The following is an 18,253-nucleotide window of genomic DNA, read 5'->3' as shown; positions in this document are numbered from 1 at the left end:
CAGAATCTGAAGTCAGACTGCCAGTGACACATCTCAGTTTCATCACTTGCTGGCTGTGCGACCCAGCTCATACAAGACAGCTAATCTCCAACCTCTATCTCTTCACTATAAAAATTACAATAATAATAATACCCACTTCACAGGATTTTTGTGAGAGTTCAACACATTAATACATGTAGAACTCTGAACTAGTGGCTGGCAGACTATAAGGGCTCAGTGAACATTAGCAGTGGTGATGACTTGCAGCAATATCTAAAAAAAAAAAATAATAGGCAGCAGTCTAGCCATGTTATTGGATAGTAAGTCAATCCATTCAACTTGGAGAATAATTGGTACTGCCCTCTAGGTTACCATGTTAATATTCATCAAATATAAGCTCTTTAATATTGAACTTTGATATCAAAAGGAAAGGTGAGACATTTCATTCTCATTTTCCCAGTCTGTTTAGTCTTTCTTTTTTTTTCTGGAGAGAGGTTCTTGCTCTGCCACCCAGGCTGATGCGCAGTGGTGCAGTCACTGCAGCCTTGATCATCTGAGCTCAAGCGATCCTCCCACCTCAGCCTCCTGAGTAGCTGGCACTACAGGCGTGCACCACCATGCCCAGCTAATTTTTATATTTTTTGTAGAGACACAGTTTTGCCATGTTGCCCAGGCTGGTCCTAGGCTCAAGTGATCTGCCCTGCTTAACCTCCCAAAGTGTTGGGACTACAGGCATGGGCCACTGTGCCCAGCTATTTTTATTCCTTATAATCATTGTGCATGTAATAAATGGCTACATTTTTATTATAGATTATTAGGAAAAAATTGGGTAAAATTTAAAAGTACCTCTTCATCACTAATACTCCCCATGCCCCAGCCCATTCTTCTCTGCAGATGTAACCACTATAAATGATTCGGTGTGTTGCTTTCCAGGCATTTATCAGTGCATTTATATTCATATAAAGAAAACCCAATGGAAACATGAAAGTATGTGCTTAAAGCACCCAAAAGATGAAATTTCACAATGATGCCTGGGCTGATCTCGAACTGCTGGGCTCAAGCAATCCTCCTGCCTCAGCCTCCCTAGTAGCTGGAATTACAGGCATGTGCCACTGTGCCTGGCCCCACCAAAAAAAAAAAATTAAAGAATTTTGTGTTTTTCAATCATTATTAAGTAATTTACAAAATAGAAGGAGGAAAATGTGGTTAAAATTTCAATGAGATATGAAAAAAAATTACCAAAGTGAAATTCTTAGAGAAACTTTTGATAATAAAGATCTTATACACGTGTCAAAAAAAAAAGAAATTTGTGTTTTTACAAATGCATAGATATAAAAAAAAATCAGAGCTTGTTAGGACTTCCTTATACTAATTTAATTTTAACATGGTTTAAATTCTTAAATTAAACAGTAAAATAATATTTACTATGGACCATAAGCTCTTTAGTGCTTACGATTTTTCTTTTTTCTTTTTTTCTTTTTTTTTTTTTTTTTGAGACGAAGTCTCGCTCTTGTCCCCCAGGCTGGAGTGCAATGGTGCAATCTTGGTTCACTGCAACCTCCGCCTCCCAGGTTCAAGCGATTCTCCTGCCTCAGCCTCCCAAGTAGCTGGGATTACAGGTGCCTGCCACCATGCCCAGCTAACTTTTTTTTTTTTTGTATTTTTAGTAGAGACGGCGTTTCACCATGTTGGCCAGGCTTGTCTCAAACTCCTGACCTCAGGTGATCCGCCTGCCTTGGCCTCCCAAAGTGCTGGGATTACAGGCATGAGCCACCGCGCCTGGCCACGATCTGTCTTAAGATCTTAATCCAAGCTTGCTTTATATGTATGTATGCACCAATATTTTTAAATACATAAATGTAATCATATTGTTTTGCAAATGACTTTATTTGAGTGAGTGATTTTACACATCATAATATTTCTTAGTGGCAATCTAAATAAGGAACTTAAACCGTATCTGCCATTTTGCTCCCCTAAAAACTATTCTTGTCTAAGGGTCCTGTTAGAACAACTTGAGTTTCAAAAGCTTCCATTTTTGCTAAAGCAAATTTCATTTTCCATCACATTTCCAAGCCCCTGTAATACAATCCTTTTTTAATCTCTACAGAGTGTAAGAGGGAGAGAAATCCTACTGACCAGGAGCCTTCTAAATGGTGACTATGGAGAGATGCCAAGGAAATTGAATGGTGCCAAATGCAAAATCCTCAAGTTGCTCTCTAAACCAAAGAAATTCACTGGGAGCCGGATTTCACTGAGGCAGGAAGTATTTCACCTACAAAGATAGAGCACATGTGGAGATTATATTTGGGACCAGGGAATAAAGAAGAAAAGGAAAGCTACATTGTATTTCAGTTGTATTTCAGGAGACAGTAAAAAGAGAACGTTCCCTGAAGCAAAAATAACCAATGACCTTTGGTGCAGGAAAAATATTTAAGCAATAGTTTATAATTAAGTTTATTTAAATTTTTCCCTTATAGGAAATTAACTGCTGAAAATCTGTTACTCCTTCAGCAAGTTCAATGCACATAGAACGCATAGAGAAAGAGAGATCCAGAATTATTTCAAATTTCAAAAATTATATTTATTTGAAATAACCCTGGATCTAAACTACTACAAATGTTTATTGCATACTCAATATGCATAGGAGGTCAGGGGAATACCAAGAACTCCAAGTTACAGAACAAGTCTTCTAAGTGCTTAAAAGTGCCAGTTAGGGAGATAAGTTATGGGCTCATAGAAAAAGAACCGTAATAATGCTAAGGATCCTGTGGTAAATGCTAAATGAATAACAGAGTCATTCATTTTTGGAGACCTCGTCCCTCACTCATGGTCTTCAGGTAAGAGATAGAACTTAAATCATGTCTTAAAGGATTTTGGAAATTATAGGAAAATAAGGGACATGAAAAGGATCCTAGCATTAAAAAAAAAGTACAGATGCAGCAAAGTACCAAGCACATCTAGCAGACCTTGAGCAGATCCTTTTAACTGCAACAAAGGGTTTGTGCCAACTAGGAGAAAACTTTGAGTAAGTAGGTTGGGCCTCTGCTCTGAAGGGCCTTCACTACTAAATTAAGATATTTGGACATTATCTTTTTAGGCAGTAAAGAATCAAAGCTGGTTTCCCGTGAAGCAACATGATTAAAGTATGCTTTCTAAAAATCTTTCTTTTTTTATGAAGAAAATTTGCAAAACACAGAAAACCACCAAAAATAGAATAAAAATTGGCGTGCACCTATAATCCCAGCTACTCAGAGACTGAAGCAGGAGAATCTCTTGAAACTGGGACATAGAGGTTGCAGTGAGCCGAGATCGCACCACTGCGCTCCAGCCTGGGTGACAGAGTGAGATTTTGTCTCAATAAATACATACATACATACATACATACATACATACATACATAATAGTAAAATAAAAAATGAAAATAAAAATTACTTGGAAATCCATCATCCATAAATATGTTAAACTTTGATGGCTAAATGTACAGCATTTTATTTCTGGTCATATATTTATGTGTGTGCACGTGTGTGTGTGTGTGTGTGTGTAGACTGGGATTATGTTTTTTTAATTCAACATTATGTTGTGGGTTTTTCAACATGATTTTTAATAAACTGCATTGTATTTCATTATATAAATGCAATATGTGTCCAATTTTTCCATTTTTCATGCAGGCATAAATAACTAAGATTAATCCAAGGTTAGCATAAGCAGTATTTACAAAGGATTGGAGTAAGGATAAACTGAGAGCAGGAAGACCAGTTAAGAAGCTACTGGTAGAGAACTGCTTGAATAAAGGGCATGTTCACACACTGGAATAGTTTATAACTATTATATTACATTATAATTATTATTTCAAAGAATGATACTGCTCCCAGTGTAGTATTACGCAGTGATCTCCAAGGTAGATTTTCTGGGTTTCTCCTCTTCTCCCCAGTCTCTTAAATTTGTAGTGCTCCAGAACTCCATCCTTTCTCTTCTCCTTCATCTACATTTCCTCCCTTGGTAATCTCATCCAGTCCCAAGGATTTAAATACTGTCTATATGTTAACCACTTGATGGCCTGTGGAAAGAAAAAGTATTCTATATACAGAGATGGATACACATTTCCTGAGAAAGCATTCAAAACTGTAAGTTGGAAATGCCTGCTCCACCAATGCCATCCAATAGGACAAATTACAAATACAAAACACTAGTGTACTGCCCTCAGAGGGGTTCTTGTAAGTGAGGAGGCTTGAAGCTGAGTATATGCTACAGCTCAAGTCAAGGCCTAGAGGCAGGAGCAGAATGATGTGATGAAGGAATCAGGAAGGGTGCACCGCCACTGCAAAGTCCGGCGATGGGATGGGTAGGGAAAAAAAATCACCTTGGGCAATTTGCTCTTTAACTTCTACTCATTCAGATGTTTGTAGACTAATAACCTGGAAGCATCGTTTGATTCAGGTTTCTAATAAATGGCATGTAAGCCATTGTGACAAGGAGTGGAGGGAGAAAGACTCTGTTGACCAGTGAATAAAATAATGATCCTGAGATAGAAAGCAAATATACATGATTCTTCATTTTCAATACCTTCTCCATGTCAAAGTTTTTTTCATTGTTTCTTTTATGAGCTCTGCTTTTCATCACGTAACCCCTTCAACTAAAATTTTCAAAGAATTCTTTCTTTCCATCTTGAAAAGGCCTACCTACTTTTATACAATTGCACTTTGCCTTCTTTTTTGTGTAATTGGGTACAAACATGTAAAAATATTTATACTCCTTTCTAATCTATAGAAAACCATTTTGGGGGTCTTGAAAACAGACTCTTTACAGATGGAGAGAATGAGAGAAATGTCCTCAGTGTGCTGGCTAAAAACTGCAATGTCTGCCCAGCACTGTGCCTCCTCTCATAACAGGGGATGCTCTGCTGAATGAGCCCTTGTATGTCAAGATTCAAAAAGTTCTTGTTTGCTCCAGTTGAACAAAGCTCTCACAGACAGTGGGATCTGCAGGGTAGCCACCAAGTGTGTTAAACCAATGCTCCCTCCACCACACTGCTGAATAGTTTATCGTAATGGCAGTTCTCACCTTCATGTATAGAGGCCGGTGTTCATGTTGCCGTCCTGCACAGAGTTCCCACTGACTTCAAAGGAAATGACATAGAACAGAACCCTGTGGTGTAAGGAGAAACAAGCAGCATCTGATCAGAATCAGGCCACTTTTTTTTTCATTCCCTCTGTATAAATGGCTAAATTTATATACGGAATATCTAAAGGCCACCTTTCACTTCAGCAGTTTATGAATTGTCAGGTATACATACACTTATTGGGAAGTTCAACACTGGACTGCTTTTTATGTAGGAGGGAAAGGGAGGGGAGTGTGTGTTAGAAAAATCCACCTCAATCCCACGTATTGCTTGGTCTGTAAGACCCCCAAGAGACCAAAGTGATCTGGGGCTAGTTTAGGGGTTCTGTTTTACTTATAGCTGGCCTTGAGGCACATGCTAAAGAAAAAGAAGGAGGAGGAGAAAAAGAGGAGAGGAAAAAAAGAGAAAAAAGAAAGCGTAAGTGTATGTTTATTAAGTCTCTGGATAGGGGAAGTCATTCTAAGCTTAAAAACAAGAAGGGGATAAATCAAAATGAAATAGGTTAAAATGGCAAATGAAAAGCTGCGTCAATTGTGACAGGCAAAAGATTAATATTCCTAATATATTCAAATTATCCACAAATTGGCTAAAAATGTAATAAAATAAATTCTAGATGGATAAAATGTTAAAATTTAAATTTTCTAAAAATGTTTAGCTAAAGTAATGCATAGGTGAATATCTGACCTCTGGATAGGAAAGGGAGTTCGAAGCTTAAACATAGTATAAGAAATCACAGTGGCCAGGCACGAAGGCTCATGCCTGTAATCCCAGCACTTTGGGAGGCTGAGGCGGGCAGATCACAAGGTCAAGAGATCGAAACCATCCTGGCCAACATGGTGAAACCCCGTCTCTACTAAAAAGACAAAAATTAGCTGGGCGTAGTGGCAGGCGCCTGTAATCCCAGCTACTTGGGAGGCTGAGGCAAGAGAATCGCTTGAACCTGGGAGGCAGAGGTTGCAGTCAGCTGAGATCATGCCATTGCATTCCAGCCTGGGCAAAAAGAGAGAAACTCTGTCTCAAAAGAAAAAAAAATAAATAAATCATGAAGAAAAAGATCAACACATTTGACTATATGAAAAATCAAAATTCTGTAAATTAAAAAAAATAAAAATTAAAACAGTCAACTTGGAAAATATTTGCAACAGTTATCCTGAATTTATAAAGAACTCAAGGCTGGGCTTGGTGGCTCATGCCTTTAATCCTAGCACTTTGGGAGGCTGAGGCAGGCAGATTGCTTGAGCTCAGGAGTTTGAGACTAGCCTGGACAACATGATGAAAACCCATCTGTAAACAAAAATTTAAAAATTAACCGGATGTGGTGGTCCATGCCTGTAGGCTCAGCTACTTGTGAGGCTAAGATGGGAGGATCACTTGAGCTCAGGAGGTGGAGGCTGCAATGAGCCGAGATCATACCACTGCACTCCAGCCCAGGTGATAGAGCAAGACCCTTTCTCAAAAAAAAATAATAATAATAAAAATAAAGAACTCAAGAAAGTTGATTTTTTTAAAAAAGTAATAAAAGATTTCTATAGAATAAAAGGCAAAGGATTCAGAAAGTTCATGGAAAAATTAAAATGGCTAATAAACACTTGAAAATGTTCAATATTACTAATAACCAATGAGTAATGAAATACAAACTTTTTTCACTTCAAATAGGCAAATATGAAAAAATGAAACTATACATTGTAGTCTTTTCAAATACAAGCAATGAACAGAAAATATAGTGAAAAAGAAATGCTTATTCAAAATAGCAACAAAACAAATAAAATGCCAAATAATATACTTAATGTGCAGAACCTAAATAAGGAAAGTGAGCTTTCCTCCCTTTCTCGCCGGAAGGCAGCCTCATGGGAGCCAGGCCTGCGTAGGAAGAGTGTTCTAGCAAGGTAGCAGCCTAAAGGTGTCAGGAAATTGGCAACATGCAGGGAGATTAAGCAAATTAGCAGAATATTAAGGATAATGACAGTCAAGTTGCTCACTGTCAGAGAAAAGAGGTGTAAACATGGAAGGGGAAAGCTAGACTAAGCCCTGTGGCAATGGATTAGAATTGAACCTATCAGTGTGAACTTATGGTTTTCAATATATAAAGACAGATATAAAGAATAAACATAGGGCTGGGCACGGTGGCTCACACCTGTAATCTCAGCACTTTGGGAGGCCCAGGCAGGTGGAACACTTGAGGTCAGGAGTTCAAGACCAGCCTGGCCAACATGGTGAAACCCCATCTCTACTAAAAATACAAAAATTAGCAGGACATGGTGGCACACTCCTGTAATCCCAGCTACTCAGGAGGCTGAGGCAGACGAATCACTTGAACCGGGAGGCAGAGGTTGCAGTGAGCTGAGATCAAGCCATTGCACTCCAGCCTGGGCAAAGAAGCAAGACTCCGTCCCAAAAATAAATAAATTAATTAATTAACATAGATGTAAATGCATGTATGCATATATGTATATAAATGCATATGTGAAAATACCTATATATGTACATATGTATATGCATACATGTATTTCCCTAGCTCAGTTAGTGAGGCAGCCTCAGAGAAGCAATGCCATAGTAACGATGAGCACTCCCAGTGCCTTGATCTTGGTTTCTGAATATCGTTCTATCTTCTCCACATTTACTCTGTTCTTTAGGGATCTCATACACTTTCTAATGCTTCATGCTGATGACATCTACATGTATATGTCAAGACTAGACCTTTCATCTAAGCCCCAGATTACTATATTCAAACTGCTTATCTGACATCTCTATTTTGTTCTGTCACACACATTTCAAATTTAGCATAGTCAAAATAGAATATTTGATTTCCCTGTGCCCTTCCAATCTATTTCCCCCATTATTTGTATCTTATAAATGGCAACGTTATTCACTCAGTTACTGAAGTCAGAAGTCTGGGAGTTAAAATCCTTTCCCTTTCCCTTATCCTTCATTGTCAGTTCACTTGCCAGTCCAAATGGGGTTCTACCTCCCAAATGCATCTTGAATTCATTCACTTTTCCCCATCTTCACTTGGGACTGTGCCAGTTTAAATTACTGCTCTTCCTCTCCTGATTTACTGTGATGGCTTTTGACTGGTCCCTCCACTTCTATGGAAACTTCCTTACATTCCATTATCAACATAACCAGAGTAAACTCCTGAAATGTAATTAGAGCATGCCATTCTCCTCTTTAAAACACTTCCATGTTTTTCCAGCCTTTTAGAACAAATCCAAGTGCCTGGCTATGGCTAGAAAGACCCCTGCATGATTGGAACACTTGCCTGAAGTCTCCAACTTCACACCATGCATCTTATGTCATCAGTCACAACTCTGCAGTCAAAGTGTCCTGTGCAGGCTGAGCATGGTGGCTCATGCTTGTAATTCCAGCACTTTGGGAGGCCGAGATGGGTGGATCACTTGAGGCCAGGAGTTTGAAACTAGCCTGGCCAACATGGTGAAACGCCATCTCTACTAAAAATACAAAAAAATTAGTCAGGTATGGTGGTGCACACCTGGTCCCAGCTACTCAGGAGGCAGGAGAATCACTTGAACCTTGGAGGGAGAGGTTGCAGTGAGCCGAGATTGCACCACTTCACTCCAACCTGGGCAACAGAGCGAGACTCTGTCTCAAAAAAGTGTCCTCTGCAATTGATGCTCCTAGAACATACCAACTTCTTTCCTCTTTCAGGATTTTTGCGCTTGCTCTTGTTTCTGTTTGTAATGCTCTTCTTTCAGCTTTTCACATGGTTGGCCCCTTCTCTTTCTTTAGTTTTTAACTTCAATGTCAATTTCTCACCGGGTGCTGTGGCTCATGCCTGTAATCCTAGGACTTTGGGAGGCCAAGGAGGGTGGGTCACCTGAGGTCAGAAGTTTGAGACCAGCCTGACCAACATGGTGAAACCCCATCTCTACTAAAAATACAAAATTAGCCGGGTGTGGTGGGGTATGCCGGTAATCCCAACTACTCAGGAGGCTGAGGTAGGAGAATCGCTTGAACCCAGGAGGTGGAGGTTGCAGTGAGCCGAAATCGCACCATTGCACTCCAGCCTGGGCAATAAGAGTGAAACTTCATCTCAAAAAACAAAAACAAAAATGTCAATTTCTCAAGGCAGAAATTCTTGGTCATCTTATCTAAGTAGGACCCTCTATTATTCCCTTTCACAGCCAACTGTTTATATTCTTCCCAATACAAGCTGTAATTATTTTATTTATTTGGTTGTGTGTGTCTTTCACTAGAGTATAAGTTGTGCGAGGGAGGTGATCTTGTCTTTCTTGTGTTCTTATGTATTCCCATGGATTTAGCATGGTGTCTGGTGTATCACCGTATAGTTGATAAATTTTTATTGAATTCACATATCCATCTGACAAGGGATTAATAACCAGAATATATAAGGAGCTCAAACAATTCAGTAGGAAAATCCCAAATAATCCAATTTTTAAATGGGCAAAAGATCTGAATAAACATTTCTTCTTCTTATTATTATTATACTTTAAGTTTTAGGGTACATGTGCACAACGTGCAGGTTTGTTACATAGGCATACACGTGCCATGTTGGCTTGCTGCATGACATTTCTTAAAAGAAGATATACAAATGGACAACAGGTATATGAAAAAAATGTTCAATATCACTAATCATCAGAGAAACTCAAATCAAAACCACAATGAGATTTCATCTCACCCCAGTTAAAATGGCTTTTATCAAAAAGACAGGGAATAATGGATGCTGGCAGGGATGTAGAGAAAGGGGAACCCTCATACATAGTTGGTGGGAATGTCACTTAGTACAGCTATTATGGAAAACTGTAAGGAAGTTCCTTAAAAAACTAAAAATAGAACTGCTATATGATTCACCAATTTCACCACTAGATGTATATCCAAAAGAAAGGAAATCAATATATCAAAGATATGTCTGCACTCCCCCGTTTATTGCAACACTATTCACAATAGCCAAAATATAAAATCAACCTAAGTGCCCATAAACGGATGAATGGATAAAGAAAATGTGCCATATATATAAGACGGAATATTATTCGGCAATAAAAATTAAACCCTGTCATTTGCAGCAACATAGATGGAACTAGAGGTCATTATGTTAAGTGAAGTAAGCCAGGCACAGAAAGACAAATATCACATGTTCTCACTCACATGTGGGAAGTTAAAAAGTAGATTTTGTGAAGATAGAGAATAGATTGGTAGTTTTCAGAGGCCAGGAAGGGTAGAGGGGAAGGCGAGGATGAAGAGAGGTTGATTAATGGGTACAAATATACAGTTTAACAGAATAATTAAGACCTAGAGTTTGATAGATCAGAAGGGTGACTATAGTTTACAACAATCTATTGTATATTTCAAAATAGCTAGAAGATAATAATTTGAATATTTCAAACATAAAGAAAAGACAAATATATAAGGTGATGGCTATCCCAGTTATACCGGTTTGAACTTTACAAATTATATGAATGTATTACATTATCGCAGGTTATCCCAAAATATGCACACCTATGATGTATCAATAAAAATTAAAAATAATACAAATTTACAGAAATCTACTACGTGTGAGGTGCTAAGGACTCAGAAATGAAACAAAACTTTCTCTCACATGGCTTATAACCTAGGAGAGAAGTAAGTAGGAAAGCAAATAAGAAATGGCTATTCTGCATAATTAGTGCTATGGTGGGGGAAGAAAAGGAGAATATAGCATCATCTAGAGAAGCCCCTATTCTGGGGCTCAAGGAAGATCACAAAAGGCTTTTTTTTTTTTGGAGGCTGTAACACCTTAGTGAAACCTACAGGATGGATCAGTTAGTCATCCAAGATACAGTGGGTGAGGACAGAAGCAAAGAACAACATGTATCTGGAAAGGAAGGAGGGCATGACATGATCAACAGGCTAAGCCCTAGGGCTGCCAGAGTAGAGTTGAGGATGAGGAAGATGAATGGGAAGAGATAAAGATATAAATAAGCTGATATAATGGTAAACCTCACCAAACATCTTAAGGAAATGGGAAGGTCATTGGAATGCTGTATGCAGGGAGTAGCATGACCAGTTTTGTGTTACACAAGGTCATTCTGGCTGTACTGTATATAAGGGATTGAAGACCAAGAGTTAGGAGGCCATGGCAGCAACCTAGGTGAAAGCTGGCAGAATAACAGTGACCTCAACTGGGTTAGTAACAATGGGACTATAAAGAATAAGAAGACAGATCTGAGGGCCACTTAAAAAGTGGCAGTCACAAAAATTAGCAATTCAATAAGTAATTTGATAAATGATGTGGGGACAACTGGTTAAATATTCGGAGGAAAAGAGTTAGATTCTTATATCAAAATTACATCAAAATTAACTCCAGGTCAGTGAAAGATTTGAATGGTTAAAGAATGAAATTATAAAACTATCAGAAGACTTCTGGTCAAGATGAATGACACTTTGAGATACCCCATCTCTTCCAAATCCACTTATGATAGGCAGCTAAAAAACAAAGCTGATTCCACTTCTCTTGCTGAGGCTATAGCATTATACAGAGCTGTGGACTGGAGGAGGAAGGACAAAGACACAGTAAGAACTGAATAGGCGGGGCACGGTGGCTCGCGCCTGTAATCTCAGCACTTTGGGAGGCCAAGCTGGGCAGATCACCTGAGGTCAGGAATTCGAGACCAGCCTGGCCAACATGGCGAAACCCGTCTCTACTGAAAATACACACACACACACACACACACAAATTAGCTGGGAGGGGTGATGCATGCCTATAATTCCAGCTACTTAGGAGGCTGAGGCAGGAGAATCGTTTGAACCCGGGAGGCAGAGCTTGCAGTGAGCCGTGACACTGCATTCCAGCCTGGGTGACAGAGCAAGATACTGTCGCAAAAAATAAAACAAACAAACAAAAACCGAAACAAAACATTAAATGTAAAAAGCAAACCTGTAACACTTTTAAAAGAAAACAAGAGAATGTATTTATGACCTTAAGGTAAGGAAGGATTGTCAAATTTAAGCATTAAATCCTTTATTTGACAAGTGACACCATAAGTAAGTGATAAGGCAATCCACAAACTTAACTTTGCAATGAAAGAAGATACTTTCAAAGCATTTTGCCACACTGGACCTAGACAAGGTGTAGGTGTGCTCCTTGCATTGATGGTTCTAAATCTTTTTCCCTCTTTCCTTCCTGAAACTTCTGTTTTGATTAACATGTAATTGGACTATACCACTCACTTCTACTCCTTGTTATACACTCATTCTCCCATCTGGAGACACTCATCTTTCCTTGAAGATTTTAGCTGGTGGTTCACTGTTACTTCAATATCACTTTTGTCATAATTCTTGGTGATTTTAATATCGACTTATATGGACCTTCCAGTAACCTAGCTTCTAAGTTCTTTGGCCTCCTCTTCTTGATATTGTCTTCTATCTTGGCAACTCACTAACATGGTTATACCTCTAGACCTGCACTGTCCAATAGGATAATTGGACTGAATGTTTCAAACATAAAGAAAAGAAAAATATATAAGGTGATGGCTATCCCAGTTATACTGGTTTGAACTTTACAAATTATATGAATGTATTACATTATCACAGGTTATCCCAAAATATGTACACCTCTGATGTATCAATAAAAATTAAAAATAATAAAAGTTTACAGAAATCTACTATGTGTGAGGTGCTAAGGACTCAGAAATGAAACAAAACTTTCTCTCACATGGCTTATAACCTAGAAACCTACAAATTGGAATGAAATGTGTCCAATATGATGTCCACGTTTCTCATGTTGCTTTTAAATTTTAAATTTATGCTGGGTGCGGTGGCTCATGCCTGTAATCCCAGCATTTTGGGAGGCCGAGGTGGGCGGATCACCTGAGGTCAGGAGTTGGAGACCAGCCTGACCAACATGGAGAAACCCCATCTCTACTCAAAATACAAAATTAGCCGGGCATGGTAGCACACGCCTGTAACACCAGCTACACGGGAGGCTGAGGCAGGAGAATCGCTTGAACCTGGGAGGCGGAGGTTGCAGTGAGCCGAGATCATGCCACTACACTCCAGCCTGGGCAACAAGAGCAAAACTCCGTCTCAAAAAAAAAAAAAAAAAAAAAAAAAAAAAAAAATATATATATATATATATATATATATATATAAATTTTAAATTTATTAAATTTAAATATTTAAATATTATTTCTTCCACTGAAGTTCTACTGGATAGTGCTGCTTTAGATCTTGTCATTACCAATAAATAACTGCAACTTCTCCATAATGTCATTATTAAGCATCACATTTTCTGACCTTTTTTTTTTTTTTTGAGGGACAGGGTCTCTCTGTTGCTCAGGCTGGAGTGCTATGGCGTGATCATGGTTCATTGCAGCCTCAAACTCCTGGGCTATAGCGATCATCCCGCCTCAGCTTCCTAAGTAGCTGGGACTACAGGTGCATGCCACTAAACTCCCCTAAGTTTTTTTGTTTTTTCATTTTTATTTTTTTTAAGACAGAGTCTCACTTTGTAGCTCAGGCTGGAGTGCAGTGGTGCGATCTTGGCTCACTGCAACTTCCACCTCCCAGGTTCAGGTGATTCTCCTGCCTCAGCCTCCTAAGTAGCTGGGATTATATGCGCCCACCACCATGCTGGGCTAATTTTTTGCATTTTTAGTAGAGATGGGGTTTCACGATGTCGGTCAGGCTGGTCTTGAACTCCTGACCTCAAGTGATCTGCCCACATCAGCCTCCCAAAGTGCTGGGATTGCAGGCGTGGGCTACCATGCCTGGCCTTATTTTTTATTTTTTAGAGATGGGGTCTTGATATTTTTCCCAGTCTGGTCTTGAACTTCTGGCCTCAAGTGATCCTCCCACCTCAGCCTCTCAAGTGGCTGGAATTATAGGCAAGATCTTCTGTTTTTAAAGCTTATTCTTTGACTCCAACCATTTTTCAAATATATCTGTACCTATAATATATTAATTCCTCAACCATTTATTGTCCCTAACCTGTGTCATTGCCAATTTTCATTATTATTCAACCTAAATTCTGTGATAAATCATTATAACCTTGCATGCATCCTAAACTCCCTTGTCTTGTCCCTCTTACTTTTTATTGATTTTTTTTTTAACTTTGCAAATCCTGGTTAAATCTAACTTTCTGCCTGCTTGTTACTAGGATCCAGTTCTCCACTTAAATTTGCACTGCACCTCTGCAGCTAAATGTGGTTGGAGGGAAAAACACATAACCATCACTAACCTCACTTGAGTGCTTAATGCTACCTACCAATCATTACTGTTTCTTAGTCCAGACTCTCATTCTTCTAGACTATTCAGAATTTCTCCTAACTTTCAAGCCTCTGAAAACTTCTCCCCTCACTCTTATCCTCACTCTCAACTGATGAGTTGTATCTTATTCCTATTGAAAAATAATGGCAATCAGAAAGGAATTTTCATGTGCTCTCACTGTCACATCTCCTCACCTACCTGCATTTGTGTTCACGTGCTCTGCCTTCTCACATATTACTGTGAATGGACTGTCTATGCTCCTAATGAAGGCCAGTTCTCTATTATGTGCTAGATCTCACTCTCTCTAGTCGATTTAGGGACCCCGTTACAGCACTTTTCTCCTTTATCTCTGGCATCATCAAGTTTTTTCTCTCTATTGGATCTTTCCAATCAGCACAAAACCATGATGTTATTTCTATTGTCTTAAGAAAAGAAAATAAACCTTACTATTCACCTTACTTTTCCCTTCAGTTACTCCATTTTCTACCTTCTCCTTTTAGCAAAATTCCTTTAAAGAGTAGCCTGCCTATACCTACTATTTCTAACTTCTCCACTCCCATTCTCTCTTGAATCTACGTTGATCAGCTTTTCTTCCCCATCTTAGTCCATTTTGTGCTACTATAACAGAATACCTCAGAGATTTATTGGCTCACACTTCTGGAGGCTGGGAAGTCCAAGATTGAAAAGTGCATCTTGCCAGGGCCTTCTTGCTGCATCATCCCATGGTGGACAGCATCCCATGGCAGAAGGGCAAAGAGAGGGTGAGAGAGACAAAACAGAGCTGAACTCATCCTTTTATAAGGATTCTACTCCAACGATAACAACTCTATTTCTGAGATAATGGCATTAATCCATTCATGAGGGTAGAGTGCTCATGACCTAATTACCTCTTAAATATCCCACCTTTTAATACTGTCACAATAGCAATTAAACTTCAACTTGTGTGGGAGGGGACAGACATTCAAACCATAGCATCCCCCACCATGCCATTAACTCTGTCATCACTATCACTCAATATTTCCACATTGCTAAATGTAATGGTCAATGTCAGCCCACATCTTGCTTGACCTATGAGCAGTATGGGACACAGCTGATCCCTCCTTTCTTCTGGAGACACTTTCTTTTCTTGACTTCCAATGTTTCTCCCTACCTTACTATCTCTTCCTTCTCAGTCTCCTTTGTTGGTTTCTCCTTATTTCCCTGACCTCTGAATATTGAAATATCTCAGGCTTTGGATTTCTTCTCTTCACTATCTATACTCACTTTGTGGTAGATTAAATTATGGTTTACAACTACTTGCTTTCTCCCTTCTATGACTATTATACATCCGCACCCTTTGGATTTGTCTTTAAATGCCTCTGCTGAGCAGAGTATACATTTTTTGCCACATTGCAGGGCTGAGTTATGTGACTTTTTTTGGCTGGTGGAATGGAATAGAATGGAAATACGTGGTGTACACCATATGCAAGGAGAATCTTTAAACTGGATTGAATGGATTAGTTTGGTCTCTCTTGCTTCTGCCCTTTGCCACGAGTATAGCACAGACAGGGGCTGTTCTTTTAGCCTAGGCACAAGATTAGAAGACACTTGAATCCGACCTATTTGCTGGCCCACAACCTAGAGCAGAGCTGTAATCAATCTGTAGCCCATATGTAGCAAGAGCAGGAAATGAACGTTTGTTGCTGTAATCCACTGAGATTTGGTGCTTGTTAGTTACCTCAACAATGTTAACTAATAAAATTTTCTTTAAACTCTCCTGAGCTCTATGCTCATATATCCAGTTGCCAACTTGGCATCTACATTTAGATGTATCAAAGGCATCTCGAACTCAGCAGGTTCAAAATGAGCTCCTGATATTTCCCACAAAATCTGTTCTTCTTGAAGTCTTGTCATTATCACTAATGTAAACTCCAACAATAACAAAAAAAAAGGGGACAAAAAACTACAGTCACACTGATTTCTCACTTTTGCTTGCATTCCATGCCCAATTTATCAACAAATCTTGGTTTTATTTTCAAAATAAATCCAGAGTCTGGAAACTTCTCACCACCTTTACTAGTACCACCTTGGCCCAAGCCATGATCATCTTTGCCCACTTACTGTTACAGCCATACCAATCCCCACCAATGGGGTGGTCACCTTTGCATTCTCCATCACAGCCTCAGCTCCTAGGCATTACTAGAGAAAGTTCCTCTAGAGTAGGAAAACAAAAGTTAATCAATAACTACCCAATGAATGTTACCCAAGCTTAGTTGGGTCATAATTACTCATGGGTTATCTTTTAATTATCTCTAATCACTTTTTACCACCTGCATCACTATCATAGTCCAAGCCACTATCATCTCTTGTCCAGGTTATTCTGAAAGCCACTCAGTTTACTCCTGCTCTTGTCCCCAAGAGTGCGCCTTTTAAAACAGTAAGACTGTGTTATTCCTTTGTCCAAATTTTCCTTTCCTCAAATGGAAAAATATCACCTCACCAAGAGAAAAAAATCATTATAATGGTCCACAATGCCTTACATTTTGCACACATGCAAACACACACACACACACACACACACACACACACACACACACTCCCCATCTTACTGCTCAGATCTCATCTCTTATGACCCTCACTTTTCTCATTCAGCTTTAGCCACAGTAGCTTCCTTGCTGTTTCTTAAATACATAATTTATGCTCCCACTTCAGGGCCCTTGCATCTGTTGTTCCCTTTACCTAAGATGCCCTTCCACCAAATATCTCTATGGCCTGCTTCCTTGCTTTCTTTAGGATTTTACTCAAATGTCACCTTATCAGTGAGGCCTTCCTTCACCACTCTATTTTAAATGGTCCCAGAAATCCTATCCGGCTTCCCTGCTTTATTTCTCTCTATAGCACTTATCATAAAGTATGTAAAATTTAACATATAACAAATTTTGCTTTTTTATTGTGTTTATTGCTTCTCTTTCTACACTAGAATGTAAACTCCATGAACTAAGAGTTGTTTTGGTCTGTTTTGTTCACTGTTGTATACTGTGAACTGGTGTAGCCTTCTTCTCAAGCCCTTCCAATAAATTTGGAAATTCCTAATTACTTGAATTAAATCTTTCTCTGCTAAAAAAAAAAAAATCTACATTGGTTTCTGTGTTCTTTAATTAACCTGACTGATAGATAGACCCATTCTTGCAGAAAAAAGAAATGCTTCTATCTGGAGAGATTGAACCCGAACAACTCTGGACCCTGCAACTATTGGGCATTCAGTGACAGTCTACATATTGAACAATGAGGTCTCCAGCCTTTTTATACCATTGGCTTTAGACACTAGCTGACAGACTTACAGTACACCATCTTCAGGGAGGAGATTAGAATATTTGTTATTGGAGCTGCTGGCTTCCCAAGAGAAAAGCATTTTGGGAAAGAGGAAGAGAGCCCTGCCTAATCAACCTGCCATGCACAGAGGTTGCAATGGACTTTTTATTGCCTCATTCTTAAATCAAGAGACCACCAAGGGTCACCAGATATTAGAAGACATATAGAAGAAAGATTCCAATACAAAATATAGAAAAAACCCCCAAAACTTTAAAAAATGAACTTATGGCCAGGCGCGGTGGCTCACGCCTGTAATCCCAGGACTTTGGGAGGCTGAGGCAGGCAGATCACGAGGTCAGGAGTTCGAGACCAGCCTGGCCAACATAGTGAAACCCTGTCTCTACTAAAAAACACACACACACACACAAAAATTAGCTGGGTGTGGTGGCATGCACCTGTAGTCCCAGCTACTCAGGAGGCTGAGGCAGGAGAATCGTTTGAATCTGGGAGGCAGAGGTTGCAGTGAGCCAAGACTGTGCCACTGCACTCCAGACTGGCAACAGAGCGAGACTACATCAAAACAACAACAACAACAACAACAACAAAAAACTTTTAAGGAATAGAAAGAGTAGATGGAACAGA

General features: G+C 39.2%; 1 long non-coding RNA gene across 1 annotated transcript; it reads right to left on the bottom strand.

Moving 5' to 3' along the window:
* Positions 1,848-17,417, bottom strand: LINC02373 (long intergenic non-protein coding RNA 2373). Its single transcript, NR_185917.1, has 3 exons — positions 14,953-17,417; positions 5,041-5,124; positions 1,848-4,036 (listed from the first exon to the last, which is right to left on the bottom strand). It is a non-coding gene; the product is annotated as a long intergenic non-protein coding RNA 2373 (long non-coding RNA).

Source organism: Homo sapiens, chromosome 12 (assembly GCF_000001405.40).
Source record: "Homo sapiens chromosome 12, GRCh38.p14 Primary Assembly".
Taxonomy (NCBI): domain Eukaryota; kingdom Metazoa; phylum Chordata; class Mammalia; order Primates; family Hominidae; genus Homo; species Homo sapiens.
This window is presented reverse-complemented; position numbering and strand designations above follow the sequence as displayed.